This window comes from Homo sapiens, chromosome 16 (genome assembly GCF_000001405.40).
Source record: "Homo sapiens chromosome 16, GRCh38.p14 Primary Assembly".
Classification (NCBI taxonomy): Eukaryota; Metazoa; Chordata; class Mammalia; order Primates; family Hominidae; genus Homo; species Homo sapiens.
The window spans coordinates 69,231,859-69,252,405 of record NC_000016.10 but is presented as its reverse complement, the minus strand read 5'-3'; the positions used below and the strand labels follow the sequence as shown (position 1 = coordinate 69,252,405).

General features: G+C 41.7%; 1 protein-coding gene across 4 annotated transcripts in view; it reads right to left on the bottom strand.

Moving 5' to 3' along the window:
• The window catches only part of SNTB2 (syntrophin beta 2), a 121,889-nt gene that overhangs the window by 56,647 nt on the left and 44,695 nt on the right, over positions 1–20,547 (bottom strand). For 3 of the 4 annotated variants that reach the window (NR_172090.1, NR_172089.1, NM_006750.4), the window contains exon 2: positions 6,591–6,804. Coding sequence is in view for 1 of the 4 variants with exons in the window: in NM_006750.4 (NP_006741.1) it covers positions 6,591–6,804 (214 nt within the window). In the remaining 3 variants the exon portion in view is untranslated. Of the gene's footprint in view, positions 1–6,590; positions 6,805–16,572; positions 16,659–20,547 lie in introns of all 4 variants that reach the window. The other variant, NR_172088.1, reaches the window with a different exon arrangement.

The window sequence follows — 20,547 nt, the reverse complement described above, 5'->3', positions numbered from 1 at the left end:
AGGGGCTCATGTTCTCTCCTTGGACTTCATCATTATTTAATAAGTGTTCGCTTTCCAGAATGAAATACGTATAATTACCAGATGCATCAAGATGCATCCAGTGAGGTCTTGAAAACTCAAGGTAGAGGAAGGGAGTAAAATTCCTCTTCCCCTGTACTTACTCATTCTGATCATTAGCACTTTTTACTTTTTCTCAGCTCTATGGAACTAAATCAAAGCAGTAAAGCAGAAAAAAAGGGTATTTCCCTCTAATACCAAACACATTTTTGGTTTAGAAAGTGAAGGCTTTAGATAAGAATGAAGGATGAGCCACAAAAAGATTCCACTACGCACCCATCACAAAGGTAAATATTAAAAAGACTGACACCTTTTGGTGAGGATGTGGAGCAATGGAAACTCTCATATATTGGCAGGAACATAAAATGGCACAATTACTTTGGAAGAAAGTCTGGCAGTTTATTTTATTTTATTGTTTTATTTTTAGTAGAGATGGGGTTTTGCCATGTTGGCCCGGCTGGTCTCAAACTCCTGACCTCAGGTGATCCACCCGCCTCGACCTCCCAAAGTACTGGAATTACAGGCATGAACCACTGTGCCCAGCCTGGCAGTTTGTTGTTGTTTTTGAGACGGAGTTTCACTCTTGTTGCCCAGGCTGGAGTGTAAGTAATGGTACGATCTCAGCTCACCACAACCTCTGCCTACCGAGTTCATGCGATTCTCCTCCCTCAGCCTCCCGAGTAGCTGGGATTACAGGCATGAGCCACCACGCCCAGCTAACTTTGTATTTTTAGTAGAGACGGGGTTTCTCCATGTTGGTCAGGCTGGTCTTGAACTCCTGACCTCAGGTGATCTGCCCACCTCGGCCTCCCAAAGTGCTGGGATTACAGGCGTCAGCCACTGTGCCTGGCCTAGTTTTTTTTTTTTTTTTTTTTTTTTTAAACTAAACATGCACCTATCCAGCAATTCCACTCCTACAAATTTACCCAACAGAAATGAAAATGTTTCTGAGGCCTTTAAATCAGAAGAAAAAAAAAAATAGGACATTACAAAAATATTCAGTAACTTTATTAATACTAACTCCACACTGGAAATTGTTCAAGTGACTATCAATAAAAAACAGATAAACAAGGCCGGGTGCAGTGGCTCACGCCTGTAATCCCAGCACTTTGGGAGGCCGAGGCGGGCAGATCACGAGGTCAGCAGATCGAGACCATCCCGGCTAAAACGGTGAAACCCCGTCTCTACTAAAAATACAAAAAATTAGCCGGGCGTAGTGGCGGGAGCCTGTAGTCGCAGCTACTTGGGAGGCTGAGGCAGGAGAATGGCGTGAACCCGGGAGGCGGAGCTTGCAGTGAGCCGAGATCCCGCCACTGCACTCCAGCCTGGGCGACAGAGCGAGACTCCGTCTCAAAAAAAAAAAAAAACAGATAAACAAATGGATATTTCCTTTAACAGAGCTGAGATAAATTTAAGGACCAATGAGCTCCAAGTTATTTTATTATTTTATTTTTATTTCTTTTTGAGACAGAATCTCACTCTGTCACCTGGTGTGTCCAGGCTGGAGTGCAGTGGCACAATCTCGGCTCACTGCAACCTCCGCCTCCCAGGTTCAAGCAATTCCCATGCCTCAGCCTCTTGAGTAGCTGGGATTACAGGTGTGTGCCACCATGCCTGGGCAATTTTTTGTTATTTTTAGTACAGACAGGGTCGCAAACTCCCAGCCTCAAGTGATCTGCCCGTCTCAGTCTCCCAAAGTGCTAGGATTACAGGCATGAGCCCCCAGCCCTGAGTTATTTTATAGATATTATTTATTCTCATTCTAAAGTACATAGTTGAGCAGATATTATGTCCATTCTACAGAGAAAACAGGAGGACAGAGAAATTAAGGAACTTATTTAAGGTCACAAGGACACTAACAATGCCTATAATAATAACTTGAGAAGTTAATATTGTCTTATTTAATCCTCCTAGAATCTTATTTTATACAGGGGAAATGCAAGGCTTGTGGAAAACAAGTAGCTTGACCAACATTACGAAGCCTATCTTCCTAAATTCTATCTTCTCTCATAACTGAGGTCTAATTAGTTAATGGTTCTGTACATTTTTTCTGCCAAGACACACAGATGTTCACATTCCCATGAGTATAGCCAAAGTTATGCATATTTTTTGCAAACTCCTTGTAATCCTACTACTTTTATGTCTAAAAAACGCATGGAAATGCGAGTATAAGTGGTATCAACATAGGAATAACCTTGAATCTCTTCCAATTTATATTTTACAAAAAGCAAATCATTTGCAAAATTTTTTATTTTTAAAAATTTTTTTTTGAGACAGAGTTTTGCAAAGTGCTGCAATCTCAGCTCACTGCAACCTCCACCTCCTGGGTTCAAGCAATTCTCCTATCTCAGCCTCCCGAATAGCTGGGATTACAGGCGTGCACCACCACACCTGGCTAATTTTAGTATTTTTAGTAGAAACGGGGTTTCACCATGTTGGCCAGGCTGGTCTCGAACTCCTGATATCAAGTGATCCACCCACCTTGGCCTCTCAAAGTGCTGGGATTACAGGTGTTAGCCACTGCACCCGGCCAAATTTTGATATCTTAAGTAAAATTAGAACAAGTTACTTTGCAGCATTAAGACTGAGAATCTCAAAACTAGCGTGGATCTTCTAAGACCTTTCCTTATATGGCATGCCATGGTCGAGTAGACTGATCATTTACTGAAAAGGAAGGTATAATGGTACAATTCTTGTAGCCCCAAACTGCCCTCTCCATTTGGTTCTGAAAATCTATTTCACATCTGACCATCACGAAATGTCTTTAGTGTATAAATATGTCAAAGAGAATTCAGCCCCCAAGTTTTAACAAAGACCAAGGTTAACTGGACTTCAATCCTTAGTGAATGACGAAGTAGCACAACGTTTAGCAATACAGCCAAGTCATATCATCTTCTTCCTTCCTTCTTTGCCCACTCCCACAACCCCGGGTTTCTACAGAAACTTTATAACGTTTTGCCTTTTTCTTCAATACCCAGCTACATCAGCAGCACTACAGGTACCTATTCTCAAAAATTATTTATGGCCGGGAGCGGTGGCTCATGCCTGTAACCCCAGCACTTTGGGAGACCAAAGCGAGTAGATTGCTGGAATCTAGGAGTTGGAGACCACTCTGGGCAATGTAGCAAAACCCTGTCTCTACAAAAAATACAAAAATTAGCTGGGCACAGTGGCATGCACCTGCAGTCCCAGCTACTTGGAAGGCTGAAGCAGGGGAATTACTTGAGCCCAGGAGGCAGAGGTTGCAGTGAGCTGAGACCAGGCCATTGTACTCTAGCCTAGGCGAGGGGAGTGAAGCCCTGTCTCAAAAAAAAAAAAAAAAAAAGAAAGAAATGATTTATAACAAAATTGACTCTATACTTTTCTCAGCCTGACAGCTAGTTGACAAATGTAGTTGCAATTTGTTCCTCTTTATCACATCGTTTCTCCATTCTATTTAATTCTCTAAGGCCCCTAACTTTAAAAAAAAAAAAAAAAAAGCCCATGATTAACAGACCAAGGGCTCTGTATAAATGTATCTCTTTTTTTCTCTCTGTCTCTCTCTTTTTTTTTGTAGAGATAGGGTCTTGTTATGTTGCCCAAGCTGGTCTTAAACTCCTGGCCTCAACCAATCCTCCTGCCTCAGCCTCCCAAAGTATTGGGATGATAGGTGTGAGCCACCACCATGTCTAGCTCAAATGTATCTCATTTGTTTATTTATTTTATTTTATTTTATTTGAGACAGAGTCTCGTTCTGTCACCCAGACTGGAGTGCAGAGGCGCAATCTCGGCTCACTACAACCTCTGCCTCCCAGGTTCAAGCAATTCTCCTGCCTTGGCCTTCCAAGTAGCTGGGATTACAGGTGCCTGCCACCATGCCTGGCTGTTTTGTATTTTTAGTGGAGACAGGGTTTCACCATATTAGCCAGGCTGGTCTTGAACTCCTGAACTGAAGTAATCCACCTGCCTCCGTCTCCCAAAGTGCTGGGATTACAGGCGTGAGCCACCTCGCCCAGCCCAAATTAAATTCTTACTTTATGAAAAGAATATAAAATTCCTTTAAAGATCAAGCTGTGTTGCACTTAGATGATTCAACATACACACAACCTTCCAGAAATAAACCTATATGTAGCACAAAGTAATTTCTACAATGTCTTGAACTTTTAAAACAAAGCCAACAATTTAAATACATCAGATTATAATTTTCAAAATGTGTTTACATAGTAGTCAGTTAAGACTTTTCTTAAGAGACAGGATATTGTTCTGTCACCCAGGCTACAGTGCAGTGGCACAATCCTAGCTCACTGCAGCCTTGAACTCTTGGGTTCAAGTGATCCTCCCACCTCAGCCTCCCAAGTAGCTAGGACTACAGGTGCATGCCAGTATGCCTGGCTAATTTTTTTTTAAAAAATCCTGTAGAGGCGAGGTCTCACTGTGTTGCCCAAGTTGGTCTTAAACTTCTGGCTTTTAAGCAATTCTCTAACCCTGGCCTCCCAAAGTGCTAGGATTACAGATGTGAGCCATTGTGCCCAGCAGAGTTAAGACTTTTTAAACATACTATTTCTTGAGAACCTACTATATGTGCTTGGCTCTGTGAAAGGGCCTTTATAGGTACTATCTCATTTAATCTGCACACTAAGTACCATTATCCCTTTTTTTAAAGATGATGACATGGTGGTGTATGGAAGTGAAGGGACTTGCTCAGAACCCTACTTTGAGCAGGTGACCTAGTTGGGATTCAAACCAAGGTCTGTCTGACTGCAGAGCTCAGTTCATTCCAGCAAACCACATAATATACTACAGAGCAGAAGCTTTAAAGCCTTAAACACCCAAGGAGGCCATTCAGTTTCTTGGTGTCTTCTGTGCTCCATTCCATCCTGATCAGGGACCTGGCTGTGCATTAAGATCAGAGGAGACCATAATAGTGAAAACACATTATAAAAAGTCTGTCCTTAACTATGTCTTTGGGCAAGTTATTTTCATCTTATTTTTTCCACTAATCTCTAACCTAACATTCGGTCTACCAGTGCCACTTCATTGAGTTAATGAAGACAAAGTTATAGAACACATATGATTATAGAACTAGGAGGGACATCAGAAATTATCCAATCTAATTTTCTCATTTTGCAAATGAGGAAACTGAGGTCAAGGGAAGCTAACTTGCCAGAGTCACACTGCTGGTTGATTCAGCCAGAACCATAATGCAGACCTCTAACTCTATACTACCTACAGTATAAGGAATTTCCATCTAAGGAGATATTTAAAAATTTATCTTTAACAAGACTTCTTTTTTTTTTTTAATATATATATATATTTTTTTTATTATACTTTAAGTTTTAGGGTACATGTGCACATTGTGCAGGTTAGTTACATATATATACATGTGCCATGCTGGTGCGCTGCACCCACTAACTCGTCATCTAGCATTAGGTATATCTCCCAATGCTATCCCTCCCCCCTCCCCCCACCCCACCACAGTCCCCAGAGTGTGATATTCCCCTTCCTGTGTCCATGTGATCTCATTGTTCAATTCCCACCTATGAGTGAGAAATGGATAAATTCCTCGACACATACACTCTCCCAAGACTAAACCAGGAAGAAGTTGAATCTCTGAATAGACCAATAACAGGAGCTGAAATTGTGGCAATAATCAATAGTTTACCAACCAAAAAGAGTCCAGGACCAGATGGATTCACAGCCGAATTCTACCAGAGGTACAAGGAGGAACTGGTACCATTCCTTCTGAAACTATTCCAATCAACAGAAAAAGAGGGAATCCTCCCTAACTCATTTTATGAGGCCAGCATCATTCTGATACCAAAGCCGGGCAGAGACACAACCAAAAAAGAGAATTTTAGACCAATATCCTTGATGAACATTGATGCAAAAATCCTCAATAAAATACTGGCAAAACGAATCCAGCAGCACATCAAAAAGCTTATCCACCATAATCAAGTGGGCTTCATCCCTGGGATGCAAGGCTGGTTCAATATACGCAAATCAATACATGTAATCCAGCATATAAACAGAGCCAAAGACAAAAACCACATGATTATCTCAATAGATGCAGAAAAAGCCTTCAACAAAATTCAACAACCCTTCATGCTAAAAACTCTCAATAAATTAGGTATTGATGGGATGTATTTCAAAATAATAAGAGCTATCTATGACAAACCCACAGCCAATATCATACTGAATGGACTTCTTTCAATTATAAAGTAATACATATTCATAGTGAAAAAAGTAATAACAACATTACAGAAAGACATAAAAGGAAGAAAAGATGCCCCCTCTTTCTTTCACCCCTTTAGTCTTATTTGACACCCTAGAGGTAAAGCCATTAACAGTTTCTTGTGTGTCTGTTCAAAATTTTTTCTACACATATACATGTATATATGTAGAATAACTTAAAATGTGGAACCCCAAAAATGCATCTCTCACCTCAGACAGATGTTTTCCTCTGTATAACTGAGTTAACAGAGTCATATAATACTGCAACATGTCCTTAAGTTTGTAAAGCTGTAGGTATGATGTTCTTGTTAGGTACACCTCACCTGTTTTCCAGATCCGGCATGCTTAGGTTTCTAGCAGCAAAGCACATTTTGAGAGGGATGATCTTCCTGTCCTTGGTGCTGTTCTGGTGTTTTGGCGAACCAGAGTCCTCACTGCCACTAAAGCTTGGTGACTGGGGGGCTGCACCTTCCCACGGCAGATCTGATACTAATGATGGCTTCTTGATATATGGTGTTACTTCTCGGATGAACTTGACTATGAACAAAAAAATCAAAGAAGAAGGTTAGTAATTTTGCTTCCTATAATAAATGATAACTAAAGTATTCACATACATGCTATATCTATAACAAAGTGGAGGAAAGAGCTGGGCGCGGTGGCTCACTCCTGTAATCCCAGCACTTTGGGAGGCCGAGGCGGGTGGATCACTTGAGGTCAGGAGTTCAAGGCCAGCCTGGTCAACGTAGTGAAACCCCATCTCTACCAAAAATACAAAAAATTAGGTGAGCGTGGTGGCATGCGCCTGTAGTCCCAACTACTCAGGAAGCTGAGGCAGGAGAATTGCTTGAACCCGGGAGGCGGTGGCTGCAGTGAGATTGTGCCACTGCACTCCAGCCTGGGCGACAGAGCAAGACTCTGCCTCAAAAACAAACAAACAAACAAACAAACAAAAAATGGGGGAAAAAAGTAAGTTAAAGAGCCATGAATCCCCTGGAGATAGATTCTAAGACAGACCCATCTAGGCTTTAGATGATTCAACCTTTAGAAACTTCTCCATACTTCTACCCACTGGTTCCCTGTCTTCTCAAGCCATATAGAACAAACTTAATCTCTCTTCTACATGAGAACTCTGTAATTATCTGAAGACAGATTTTTCTCTTCTCTCTCCTCCCCATACTAAGCTAAGTATTTCTATTTCCATTCAACTCAATCAACTTTTATTAGCTACCTACCAAGTGTTGGGAATTAGGCTAGCCAGTAAAGACACAAGGGCAAATGAGCCATGGATTCTATCCCTCAAGGAATGCCCAGCCTTGCAGGGGAGACAGCTATGTAAACAGGCCATTACAGTTCTTAAAATCAAGTGCAAAAATAAAGTATATTCAAGATAAGGTATGATCTAATAAGCACAAAGCCAACTCAACTGATCCCCCTTGCTTGTTCAAAATACTCTATTTCCATTAATGTGGCCCCAAATGAAAATCAAGCTTTTAGTAGATAGGAAGCTTTTTTAAGTTCAAATTTAAAACTCATAAAATACTTGTTTTACTTCAGTCATGACTACAATTACTGTCACTCGAGGCATGGTGTTCTTGTTTCAAAAACTAGACAAACTGGCTGGGCACAGTGGTACACACAGTTTCTCCTGTGAATAGGTAATACATGCACATAAAACAAAACTCAAGAGGTATAAAAGGTTTTATAATAAAAGTCCAGATTTCTAGCTACCCTGTCTCCATTCCTAGAGGCAACCATTCAAAGAGATGCCTGGTATGCTAAGCATGTATGAAAATAAACACATACACATGCGTGTATATCTGATCATACATATGGTGGTACATTATGCTTACCGTGCTGCACCTTAGTTTTTTTATTTAATAAGGTTGATAGTCTTTTATAGGCCTAATAGTTGATAGCTCATTCTACAGCATGATGTGGTCATAGAGATGCCTTTGGAATCAAGAAGACCTTGTTCAAATCCTAACTGTGCTTGCTATTCAAAGCTATGTGACCGCACTTAACTGTTCTGAGGTCCTCATCTACAAAATGGGAGTAACACTAAGCAAATAAAAATTTCAGGCACATACTAAACATTCAATAAATACAGTAGGTACCTTTCTTTTTCCTTCCCTAAATTAGAAAGTTAGAGAAGAGTTAAAAAATTTTAATGGTAATCAGTAGAAGAGTTAAAGTTATTTTCTTATACGTTATTAAAAAAGATTTACTGAAATTAAGTATAATAATAAAAAATATAACAATTCCAATGCTAGAATTTAGATGTAGTATATCTCTGTGCTTTTTGTGCATAGTTATAATACACGTGCTTCTGGGTAGCTGCCTCAGGTCACCAAGGAGATTTTTTTACCCTAGAAAAATCAGCAGGAGTGCAGTCAGTATAACCCTTGAGCAGCTGACTCAAGCATTTCAATACATACTTCAGCTTTATGCTTTGAAGGACTTTGGCAGAAATTCCTAAGGTTTCCAGTTACTGCAAATGGCAGAGGCATGCTTTTTGAACATTTAAGGCAGTACACTATTGGGCTACCAACTGGAGGAAATTAAAGACATTCTAAATGAATTCTTGAATAATATAGTGGTTAGAAAAGAACCCTTAACGATCTACTCAGTTCATTCAATCACACAGTAGCATCACTGAACTGATTACTACACACATCCTAAAACAAAAACAGACATACACATACAATTTATGTATTGCCTTATTAAAAGAGCAATGAATTTTATCTGAGTTGATGGCAATGCAGTCCATACCCCCATCTAATTAGCCATCCAGAATGGCTGAAGAGCTGTGGATGGACATCTGTTTCTATGTTTGGGAATGGCAAAAAGTTAACAGTCTTCTGTTTCAGTCCTATGTTAAGGCCTTAACCTGGACACGTGGCTGGATAAGCAGAGCCTTTACACCCCCACATGGAGCTTTCAGTTCAACTCAGAATCCACAACATATTTCAGAATCATTTCATTTTTCCTGATAGTTGAAGATAATCCTCAAAATAATTTAATTAAACACTGATGTTTACAAACTGTTTTGAGTGTTCAGATGCTGAAGCTAATTTTCTTTCTTCCATTCATGTATCCCTTTTTTTTTTTTTTTTTTTTTAAGATGCAGTCTCACTCTGTCGCCCAGGCTGGAGTGCAGTGGCACAATCTCAGCTCACTGCAAACTCTGCCTCCTGGGTTCACGCCATTCTCCTGCCTTAGCCTCCCCAGTAACTGGGACTACAGGCGCCCGCCACCACGCCCGGCTAATTTTTTGTATTTTTAGTAGAGACGGGGTTTCACCGTGCTAGCCAGGATGGTCTCGATCTCCAGACCTCGTGATCCACCCGCCTTGGCCTCCCAAAGTGCTGGGATAACAGGCTTGAGCCACTATGCCCGGCCTCACGTATCCCTTTTACTGAACGTGAAGGTGGGCTTCCTCCCACCCCAAAAGCATTACTGTGATCCCTTCTCTTCTTTAGAGTGACAAAAACACATACATGTACTGCACACATGTACCTGTAAAGATGTCTGGAAGGAACTTAATCAAAATATCAATAGTGCTTATATACAGGTGTAGGATTGCATTTTTTTCTTTATGTTGTTCTGTATATTTAAAATTTTTGTTAAGTCCATAGTATTTATTTTAAAAACGTATTTAAGAAATGAAGAAAACTTATTCTGAGACCTTGTTCAAACTCTATCTTAATTTTATTTTTGAGACAGGGTCTCACTCTGTCCCTCAGGTTGCAGGGCAGTGGCACAATCATAGCTCACTGTAACCTCAAATTCTTGGGTTCAAGTGATCCTGCCTCAGCCTCCTGAGTAGCTGCAACTATAGGCACACACCGACACATCTGGCTAACTTTTTAATTTTTTGTAGAGACAAGGTCTTGCTATTTTGCCCAGGCTGATCTCAAACTCCTGGCTTCAAGCAACCCTCCCGCCTTAGCCTCTCAAAGCGTTGGGATTACAAGCATGAGCCACCACCCAGCCTGTTGCTCAAACTTTAAACATGAAAGACATGTAAACGGAAATCTTGAGGCTTCAAAAACTATAATGCACTGGATAGGATCCAAAATCCAACTGATTCTTACTGAATTCTAAGCTCTAATGAATAAGGTTATGAAGAGTTCCATGTTTGGGGCATGAGGCAGCATCTGATTTTAAACTGAATGCAAGTGGCTTCTTTTTTTTTTTTTTTTTTTTTTTTGAGACAAGGTCTGGCTCTATCACCCAGGTTGAAGTGCAGTGGCATGATCTCAGCTCACTGCAACCTCCGCCTCCTGGGCTCAAACCATCCTCCCATCTTAGCCTCCTGAGTGGCTGAGACTACAGGTGCACACCACCATACCCACCTAATTTTTGTACTTTTAGTAGAGACAGGGTTTTGCCATTTGCCCAGGCTGGTCTCTAATTGGTGAGCTCAAACAATCCACCCGCCTTGGCCTCCCAAAGGGCTGGGATTATAGGTATGAGCCACTGCACCCCACCTGTTAAGTGGCTTTTTTTTTTTTAGTAGAGACGGGGTTTCACCATGTTGGCCAGACTGCTTGCCAACTCCTGACCTCAAGTGATCTGCCCACCTCGGAGTCTCCCAAAGTGCTGGGATTACAGGCTTGAGCCACCACGCCCACCCTGGCTTTTTAAAGCTTATCTAGGCTGGTGCTGAGCATGGTGGCTCACACCTGTAATCCCAGCACTTTGGGAGGCCGAGGTGGGTGGATCACGAGGTCAGGAGTTCAAGACCAGTCTGGCCAAGATGGTGAAACCCCATCTCTACTAAAAAATATAAAAATTTGCCGGGTGCGGTGGCAGGCACCTGTAATCCCAGCTACTGGGGAGGCTGAGGCAGGAGAATTGCTTGAACCCAGGTGGCAGAGGTTGCAGTGAGCTGAGATTGTGCCACTGCACTCCAGCCTGGGCTAGAAAGTGAGGCTCCATCACAAAAAAAAAAAAAAAAAAAAAAAAAAGCTTATCCAGGCCGGGCACGGTGGCTCATACCTGTAATCCCAGCACTTTGGGAGGCCAAGGCGAGTGGATCACTTGAGGTCAGGAGTTCAAGACCAGCCTGGCCAACATGGCGAAAGTCCATCTCTACTAAAAATACAAAATTAGCCAGGTGTGGTGGCGGGCACCTGTAATCCCAGCTACTTAGGAGGCTGAGGCAGGAGAACTGCTTGAACCCGGGAGGCAGAGGTTACAGTGAGCCAAGGTCATGCTATTGCACTCCAGCCTGGACAACAAGAGCAAAACTCCATCTCAAACAAACAAACAAATAAACAAAACGAAACGAAACAAAAACCTTATCCAAAAAGGATACATAATAGGGCAGACACAGCCTACGGCTGCAAACACACATATTTGGATAAATGGATCAACCTCTTTTATAAACATCAACTTCTCATATAATCGTTATGTTCCTTTTTATCTCTAACTCTTACCTTTTCCATGCCCCAACTGGTGATCTTTACTATGAGTTTAAGTGAAACTAAGTTAGTCACACAACATTATTTCCCCTGCTTTTGCAAGCAAGTTTGTTCCTGGATTATTCTCAGAGTGGAATATCTGGCTGTGCATTTTGCACAGGAATGAGTTATGTTGACAGTCACTGTTAAAGTATTCTCTCAGGAGGATTCTCTCCAACCTCATCCCAAGCTCTTCTCTCAAGTCAGGAGGCTGATAAATGACCACCAAAAACACGAGGAAGGAATTGCTTTGCTTTGAGTAAAAAGCCTTTTACATTCTCAACTTGCAGGTGTCTTTCAGCTCAAGTCTCCTGGCCATTTGGGGTTTGAGTAGACTGCAGTCTAGAGTCTGGTGACATGAACCTTGAATGAGTTCAGAGTGACTCTTTCACTCTTCCTCTTCATTCTAAAATAACATAGCAAATTCACTAATTTATTGAGCTCCTACTATATACCAGGAACTGTTTTAGGCATGTAGAATTATTAGCCAGTGAATAAAATATGCAAAAAATAATAATGTAATTAATAATTTAATGAAATTCTAGAGAAATGAAAACTTACATTCACACAAAAGCCTGTACACTAATGTTCTTAGCAGCTCTATTCGTAAGTACCACAGCTGGAAACAACCCAAATTTCCTTCAATGGAAGTGAATGGATAAACTGTGATACAGCTATAGAATAGAACACTATTCAGAAATAAAAAGGAACAAACTATTTATAACTCAGTAACTTGGATGAATCTGAAAGGCATTATACCAGTCTCAAAAGTTGTATGACCCCATTATTGAAAAGAAAAAAATATATGATGAAAAATTCAGTGGTTTCTAGCCAGGCGTCGTGGCTCATGCCTGTAATCCCAGCACTTTGAGAGGCTAAAGTGAGCAGATCACTTGAGGTTAGGAGTTCAAGACCAGCCTGGCCAACATGGTGAAACCCCACCTCTGCTAAAAAAACAAAAATTAGCCAGGCATAGTGGTGCACGCCTGTAAGCCCAGCTACTCAGGAGGCTGAGGCAGGAGGCTTGAACCCAGGAGGCAGAGGTTGCAGTGAGCTGAGATTGCGCCACTGCACTCCAGCCTGGGCAACAGAGCGAGACCCTGCCTTGACTAAATAAATAAATAAATAAATAAATAAAAATAAATTCAGTGGTTTCTAAGGGTTAGGGGTGAGAAGGGATATGATTATAAAGGGATAGCACAACAGAGTTTTCTGAAACCATGGAATGGTCCTGTATCCTGATTGTGGTGACAGTTACAAGAATTTATGTATGTGTCCAGATTCATAGAACTGTATACCTTAAGGGGAAAAAATTCAATTGTACAGTATGATAATTACAAAATAAAATAAGTAAATTATACAGTATATTGGAAGATGTTAAGTGTAATGGGAAAATGAAACACAGCAAGGGAAGGGGTCAGAAATGCTGCCCAGGGTGTCAGTTTGTAAATTTTAAATATGGTAGTTAGGGTAAGCCATTAATAAGATGTTTGAACAAAGACTTTAGGAGATGGGGGAGTTGGCCATGCAAATATCTGGGAGAAACATTCCAGCCAGGGAGACAGTGTTAGGACAGTAACAGGAGTTACTAACAGGAGTGTTAGACAGTAAGGAGACCCAGAGTAACTGGAGCTGGGTAAGTGAGGGGGACAGAGTAGTAAATGGGGTCACAAAGGTAACGGGGCTGGGAGGCAGACCATGTACGGCCTTTTAGGTCATGGCAAGGACTTTGGCTTTTATTCTGAAACAGGAAGCTATTGGGAGATTTTCAGGAGCAAGTGACCACTATGTTGAAAATAGAATAAAAGAAGGCCAAGGCAAAAGCAGGAAGACCAGCTGGCAGGTTAACAGGGATGAGAGATGATAGGAGTTGGACCAGGGGAATAGTAGTGGAGGTGGTGAGAAGTGGTCAGATTCTACATCAGATTACATAAGGGGGTGGCAAAAAGAAGAGTCAAGGATAATGTCAAGATTTTTGTCCCGAACAAGGCTAGAAGGATAGCGTTCCCCTTGACAGCTTTAGAAGAAAGATCAGGAACTTGAGACATACATTAGACAATCAAGTCTAACAGGCAGCTAGATATATAAGTCTGCAGTTCAGGAAATGGGTGTAGGCTAAAAACATAAATTTGGGAGCTATTAGCATATAGTTGCTATTTAATGCCATGAAACTGGATAAGATCACTGTATCAGTCAGGATCCCAGCAGGAAACGATAGTAAGGGATTTAATAAAGGGACAACTTATGAAGATGTGGGCAGAGTGCAGGGAAACCACATGGAAAAATAGAGTGTAGTATCCCATGGCTATTAGCTGTTTCCACATGTAGGCCTGAAGGAAATAGGAAAGAGAGTGGGTACCAAACCCAGAAGAAAAGAGCCCTATAGAGACCGATGTGAGAGGAGCAGTGACTTTCAGTCAATTCAGCCAGATTGCACTGACCTGCGAATTGGGGGCCAAGGGGATAAATGCTCCAACCTCACCCTCCTCCTTCTTTCCCTCCAATGTCCTATTGGGGCTCTACATTGGCCAAACCCAACAAAAACCAAAGGCCAAGGAAGTCTGCTGATGTTGTCCACGCAGGTCAGCGTCCGGGACAGATGGCATGTAGAGAAGGAGCGGACCTAGAAGAGCCAATGGAAGACTTCCAGCACAAGCAAGGAAGTGAGTACGGAAGAGAAAGCAGACACTCCACTATTAAAGGGCTGGGGAGAAAAGAAGGAGGTAGGCAGAAGATCCACGAAACACAAGTGCTCCATAGAAATACTGGCTTAACAGGCATGGTGGCTCATGCCGGTAATCCCAGCACTTTGGGAGGCCGAGGCAGGAGGATCACCTGAGGTCGGGAGTTCAAGACCAGCCTGACCACATGGAGAAACTCCGTCTCTACTCAAAAAATACAAAATTAGCCAGGCATGGTGGCACATGCCTGTAATCCCAGCTACTCGGGAGGCTGAGGCAGGAGAATCACTTGAACCGGGGAGGCGGAGGTTGCAGTGAGCCAAGATCGCACCATTGCACTCCAGCCTGGGTAACAGAGCAAAACTCTGCCTCAAAAAAAAAAAAAAAAAGAAAGAAAGAAAGAAAGAAAAAAAAAGAAATGCTGGCCTAAAATAGTACCAAGTTTATCCAAACTGAAAAAGCACTCCCTTGACCTGATGAACCCAGACTTGGCTCTTCCCTCCCTTCACCATTCCTTGAAAATCAAAACAAAACAATTTCTGCTTATTGTTTCTATTTTCTCCTTTCACTCCTTAATCTCTTCTGAATTAAAACAGCATTCTAAAGGGTTATCAATGTTTTCTTACCCAATCCAAAGGCCCTTTCTCAATCCTTATGCTCGACCATTCCAATATGTATGGCAATGCACTCTACCAGCTGTTTTGTATTCCTTCTTTCTGGCCATTTATTTTTTAAGTGCCTTTTTTCTCCTCCTATCCCTATAATCCAGGTGTTTCCTAAGGCTCTGATTTTAGCACTTCTCACTTTATCCTCTCATCCCTGTCAGCTTTCTGCTGGATCTCCAGTTTGACACAGCTCTCTAGAACCAATATCTCCTGTTGGCCCCAATCCCACCACCTGGGTGCTGCCCCATCCTTCAGATTCAACATATCCAAACAAGAACTAATCTTCATTATCCTTTATCCCCTGCTCCTGTGCTCACTCTTGTAGTTATAAGGATTAGCATCATCATCTTTCTCGCCACCCAGGATCTAAACCAGTACTATAGTTAGCCTGGTGTGAAGCACACTCTTCTGTATTTTATTAAAGGTTGCCCAGGTGGTTAATTCTCATGCTCGATCAAGGTTTGGAAAATGCTTCTCTAAACCTTTGCAGACCACTCTCTGTCCCTACCCGCTACATCTAATCAGGTGCCAAATCACATCTGAAATTGTTCTCTAGCCTACCTACTCCCCTCAGTTTCCACTGCCAACATGCCTTGGTTAACTCAGACCAGCCACTGTAGTGGCTGCTGCTGCTGCTGCTTTTTTTTTTTTTTGTAATTGTAAAATATACACAACATAAAGTTTACTATTTTAACCATATTTTTTACATGTACAGTTCAGTGCATTAAGTATTCACATTGTTGTGAAACCACAACCACCAGCCATCTCCAGAACTTTTTCATTTTCCCAAACTGAAACTCTATACCCACTAAACAATTACTCCCCATTCCCCTATCCCCTGGCAACCACCATTCTACTTTCTGTCCTTATGAATTTGACTACTCTAGGTACCTCACATAGGTGGACTCATACAATAGTTGTCCCTTTGTATCTGTACTGGCCTCTTAACTGATCTCCTTGCCCAGACCCTCTTCCCTTCTCTCATGCCTTTACACAAGGTTACCAGGTTGATTGTCCTAGACCCCAACTCATACCAGGCCACTCCCGATTTAAAAGAGTCTCTATGGTTTGCTACTGCCTAAGGAATGTAGTCTAAAGTCTTGTGTATAAATTCATCTTTCCAACCATCTCTTCTCTTCTGTCCCCTCAAATATCTTACTAAACTGCTTGCACAAGAAAACCCACCAAAAGATTTCAAGCATAACCACAGGCCACCACAACCCAGTAAACTACTTGCAGAAAGGTATACTCTGACTTTTCCTGTGTCCTTATTTATATTGATTCCCTCACTTCTTCACTTCCATGTGTCCAAATCATACCCATTTCCCAAAGCACATCTCAAATTCCACCTCTATTAATCCTAATGCGAAAGTAATGGGAGCTTACTAAGATGTAGCACAGATAAACCAGTAATTCTATATATATCTAATGGGACTGCATCCACACAACTCCAAGAACAGTTGTAGAAGTGGTAGCTAACGGGTTCAAACTCACCACAATTCCAGGATATTTGAAGAAACTTAGTACAGCAGCTGATGTGCCCCTGATATTGGTCAGACAGAAATTTCCTCATTATAGGCCTGAAAGCAGAGAAAAAAATTCCTGGTACTATGTTGTTAGCCCTGGGGATACAGCAGTTTGAAGCTGTCATATTGGTGCCAGGGTTTTTTGTTTTGTTTTCTTTCTTTCTGCTCCCCACTTCCCGCCTTTCTTCCTTTCCCTTCCTTTTAGTTCCCCCCTCCCCCACTTTGGTCTCATTTCTAGGACTCTCGCAGGTATTCTGAAGGACATTTACAGTGATTAAAGTCTCTAAAAAACTCCACCTTTCTCCACCTATATAGAAACTACAGAGAAAAGCCCAGAGTTCTGAAAGGCAATCACATTGGCTAATGCTTGAACAAAATGTTACTCAATATTGTTTCAATAATATGGATACACACTATAGGGGTTTTGAGATAACCCCTTAACATTTATGCTTAGGATAGTTCTAGGCCCAGGAAGTGAACAAGAAGGGAAGACACCCATTCACCTATTCTACGTAAAATTAAAACTGGCTAAGATGTTCCAAACCACTCATCGGAACCAAGTTGAAGTCCGGGAACGGTGGCTCATGCCTGTAATCCTACCACTTTGGAAAAAAAAAAAAAAATTAGCTGGGCATGGTGGCGTGCGCCTGTAATCCCAGCTACTCAGGAGGCTGAGGCAAAGAGCATTGCTTGAAACCAGGCGACAGAGGCTGCAGTGAGCCAAAATTGCACCACACACTCCAGCCTGGGAGAGACTCCGTCTCAAAAAATAAATAAATAAATAAAGAACCAAGTTGAGAGCCGGGCGCAGTGGCTCACACCTGTAATCCCAACATTTTGGGAGGCCAGAGCGGGTGGATCACCTGAGGTCAGGTGTTCGAGACCAGCCTGGCCAACATGGTGAAACCCCGTCTCTACTAAAAGTATAAAAATTAGCTGGGCATGGTGACGGGCATCTGTAATCCCAGCTACCTGGGAGGCTGAGGCAGAAGAATTGCTTGAACCTGGGAGGTGGAAGATGCAGTGAGACAAGATCATGCCACTGCACTCCAGCCTAGGTGACAGAGTGAGACTTGGTCTCGAAAAAAAAAAAAAAAAATACCAAGTTGTATAACACATAATGTCTTCTGCATCTCCGTACTCTGGTTTTGTTCCTTTCCTTATCAGTTGTTTGAGAACAGCCATTAAAGCTAATCTTTATTGGCTGGCCTTATTCTTTCCTTTCAGATAATTAAACTGGAAATACTGAAAAGAAAAAGAAAATAAATACAAAAATTCCTAATTACACTGTATTTTCTTCCAGACTTTTTAGTCCCACACTTAACAAAGGAACAAACATTTCTCCATGTTATATAAACTCTTCACAACTATCATTTAAAAATAGCTATATAGTATTCCATATTGTGTGTTTACCATAATTTATTTAGGCATTCCCTAATTATTGGCCACTTAGTTTTTTGGGTTCTTGTGAGACAAAATCTCACTCTCTTGCCCAGGCTGGAGTCCAGTGGTACAACCACGGCTTACTACAGCCTCAATCTCCCAGGCTTAAGCGATCCTCCCACCTTAGGCTCCCTAGTAGCTGGGATTACAGGCACACACCACAGCACCCAGCTAATTTTTGTAACTTTTTTGTAGAGACAGGGTTTCGCCATGTTGCCCATGCTGGTCTTGAACTCCTAGGCTCAAGCAATCTGCTGCTTCGGCCTACCAAAGTGCTGGGATTATAGGCGCAGTCACCATGCCTGGCCCTTGTTTTTTTCTTTTTTCCTTTTTTTAAAAGAGACAGAGTCTCACTTTGTTGTCCAGGTCGGAGTGCAGTGGCACAATCATAGCTCATTCTGTTGTCCAGGCGGGACTGCAGGGGCACAATCATAGCTCACTGCAGCCTCAAACTCCTAGGCTCAAGGGATCTTCTTGCCTCAGCCGCTTGAGTAATTAGGACTACAGGTATGCACCACTGTACCTGGCTAGTTTTTTTTGTTTTTTGCAGAGACAGTGGGGTCTTGCTATGTTGCCAAGGATGGTCTTGAACTTCTGGCCTCAAGTGATCCTTCTGCCTTAGCCTCCCAAAGTGCTGGGATTACAAGTATTGAGATACCACACTTGGCAAGGGAACTTAGTTTAGTTAACACTACACTGAACATCTTTTTCAGCAGAGAAATTACTGGGTCAAAGTAATATTTAAGCATCATGGTAAGTACTGCCAAATTCCTCCCCCCTAAAATCTGTATCATTTTTATGCTCCCACCTGCCATATATAAGCACATCCATGTCAGTACACTTGCCAACATGAAGTAATCCCACTTAAAATAACCCTTGCTATTTTAATAGGTGAAAAATGGTATATATACCCACCCAATCTTGATCTCCTGTCTCAACAAATGCAGGATATTATTATTTTCTTCTACTTAAAACCAGGAAATCCATGTCTCTTAATGCTTTTATTTTGTCTGAAGAACTGGGAGGGGTGATTTGTGATAACAGTGGAGAGTCACAGGACAGTCACCAGAACCTCATATCTCACACAAATTGAATTTGAGTTCTTGATGTACCAGCATATCTAAAGTCACACTTAATTTCCCTTTATTGCCTTGTCATTTAACTCTGTGAAGTTAGTTCCTTTCCTCTTGCTAGGCATGAGGGGGGAAAAGTTGTCAACAAGAAAACCAAGCATGCCCTAAGAAGCAGTAGTGTCTCCCAGATTTCTAAGATGTGATTTAGGTTTATGGTGATCTTGGAATTTTCAGTTCAGTTCATTATCCATCTTTCCTTCTCTGTTCCAACCTAAGCTCTGGTCCAAATCAATAAAAGTAGGAGAAATATCCTTTTTTGAAGATCTCAAATTACTACTGGGATAACAAAAAAATTCAAGTATAATTTTAAACCTCTGAGCTATAGTGAAATAAGTCCAAAGAAACCAAAAAATAAGGTAGCTCTGAAATTTGTCCCCAGCAATTAAAATTTCAGGATTTAAAAATTATGGCCTTTTGGCTGGGGGCAGTAGCTCACACCTGTAATCCCAGTACTTTGGGAGGCTGAGGTGGGCGGATCACGAAGTCAAGAAATCGAGACCATCCTGGCCAACATGGTGAAACCCCATCTCTACTAAAAATACAAACATTAGCTGGGTGTGTTGGCGCACGCCTGTAGTCCCAGCTACTCGGGAGGCTGAGGCAAGAGAATCGCTTGAACCCGGGAGGCAGAGGTTGCAACGAGCCAAGATGGGGCCACTGCACTCCAGCCTGGCAACAGAGCGAGACTCCGTCTCCAAAAAAAAAAAAAAAAAAAAAAAAAAAGGCCGCACCGTGGCTCACACCTGTAATCCCAGCACTTTGGGAGGCTGAGGCGGGCAGATCACAAGGTCAGGAGATGGAGACCATCCTGGCTAACATGGTGAAACCCCGTCTCTACTAAAAATACAAAAAATTAGCCGGGCGTGGTGGCAGGCACCTGTAGTCCCACTTACTCGGGAGGCTGAGGCAGGAGAATGGCGTGAACCTAGGAGGCAGAGGTTGCAGTGAGCTGAGATCACACCACTGCGCTCCAGCCTGGGTGAAAGAGCAAGACTCCATCTCAAAAAAAAAAAAAAAGAAAAAAGAAAAAATTATGGCCTTTTACAATGAATTTATACAAACCGGCAAAAAAAAGCCCCAGTATTTTTTAGGCCTCATCGAAGTCTAACTTGAATATCTATTACTTTTATACAAAAGTATTAGCCTTCATGCTTTTATATATAGAAATGTAGAATAACAAGCAAGACTGAAATAATTTGGGGCTTTAGACTATCTACTGTATAAATTCCCCTTGGTAAACTTCTTTAACTACTGATCTAATATGGTAAACTAGTTCTTGGTCATTTATAAAGTAAAAATTTCTTAATTGAATTTAAAAAGTGTTTTTTCTTTGGAATGTTTCCTCAAACTACAAAAGAATATGCAAG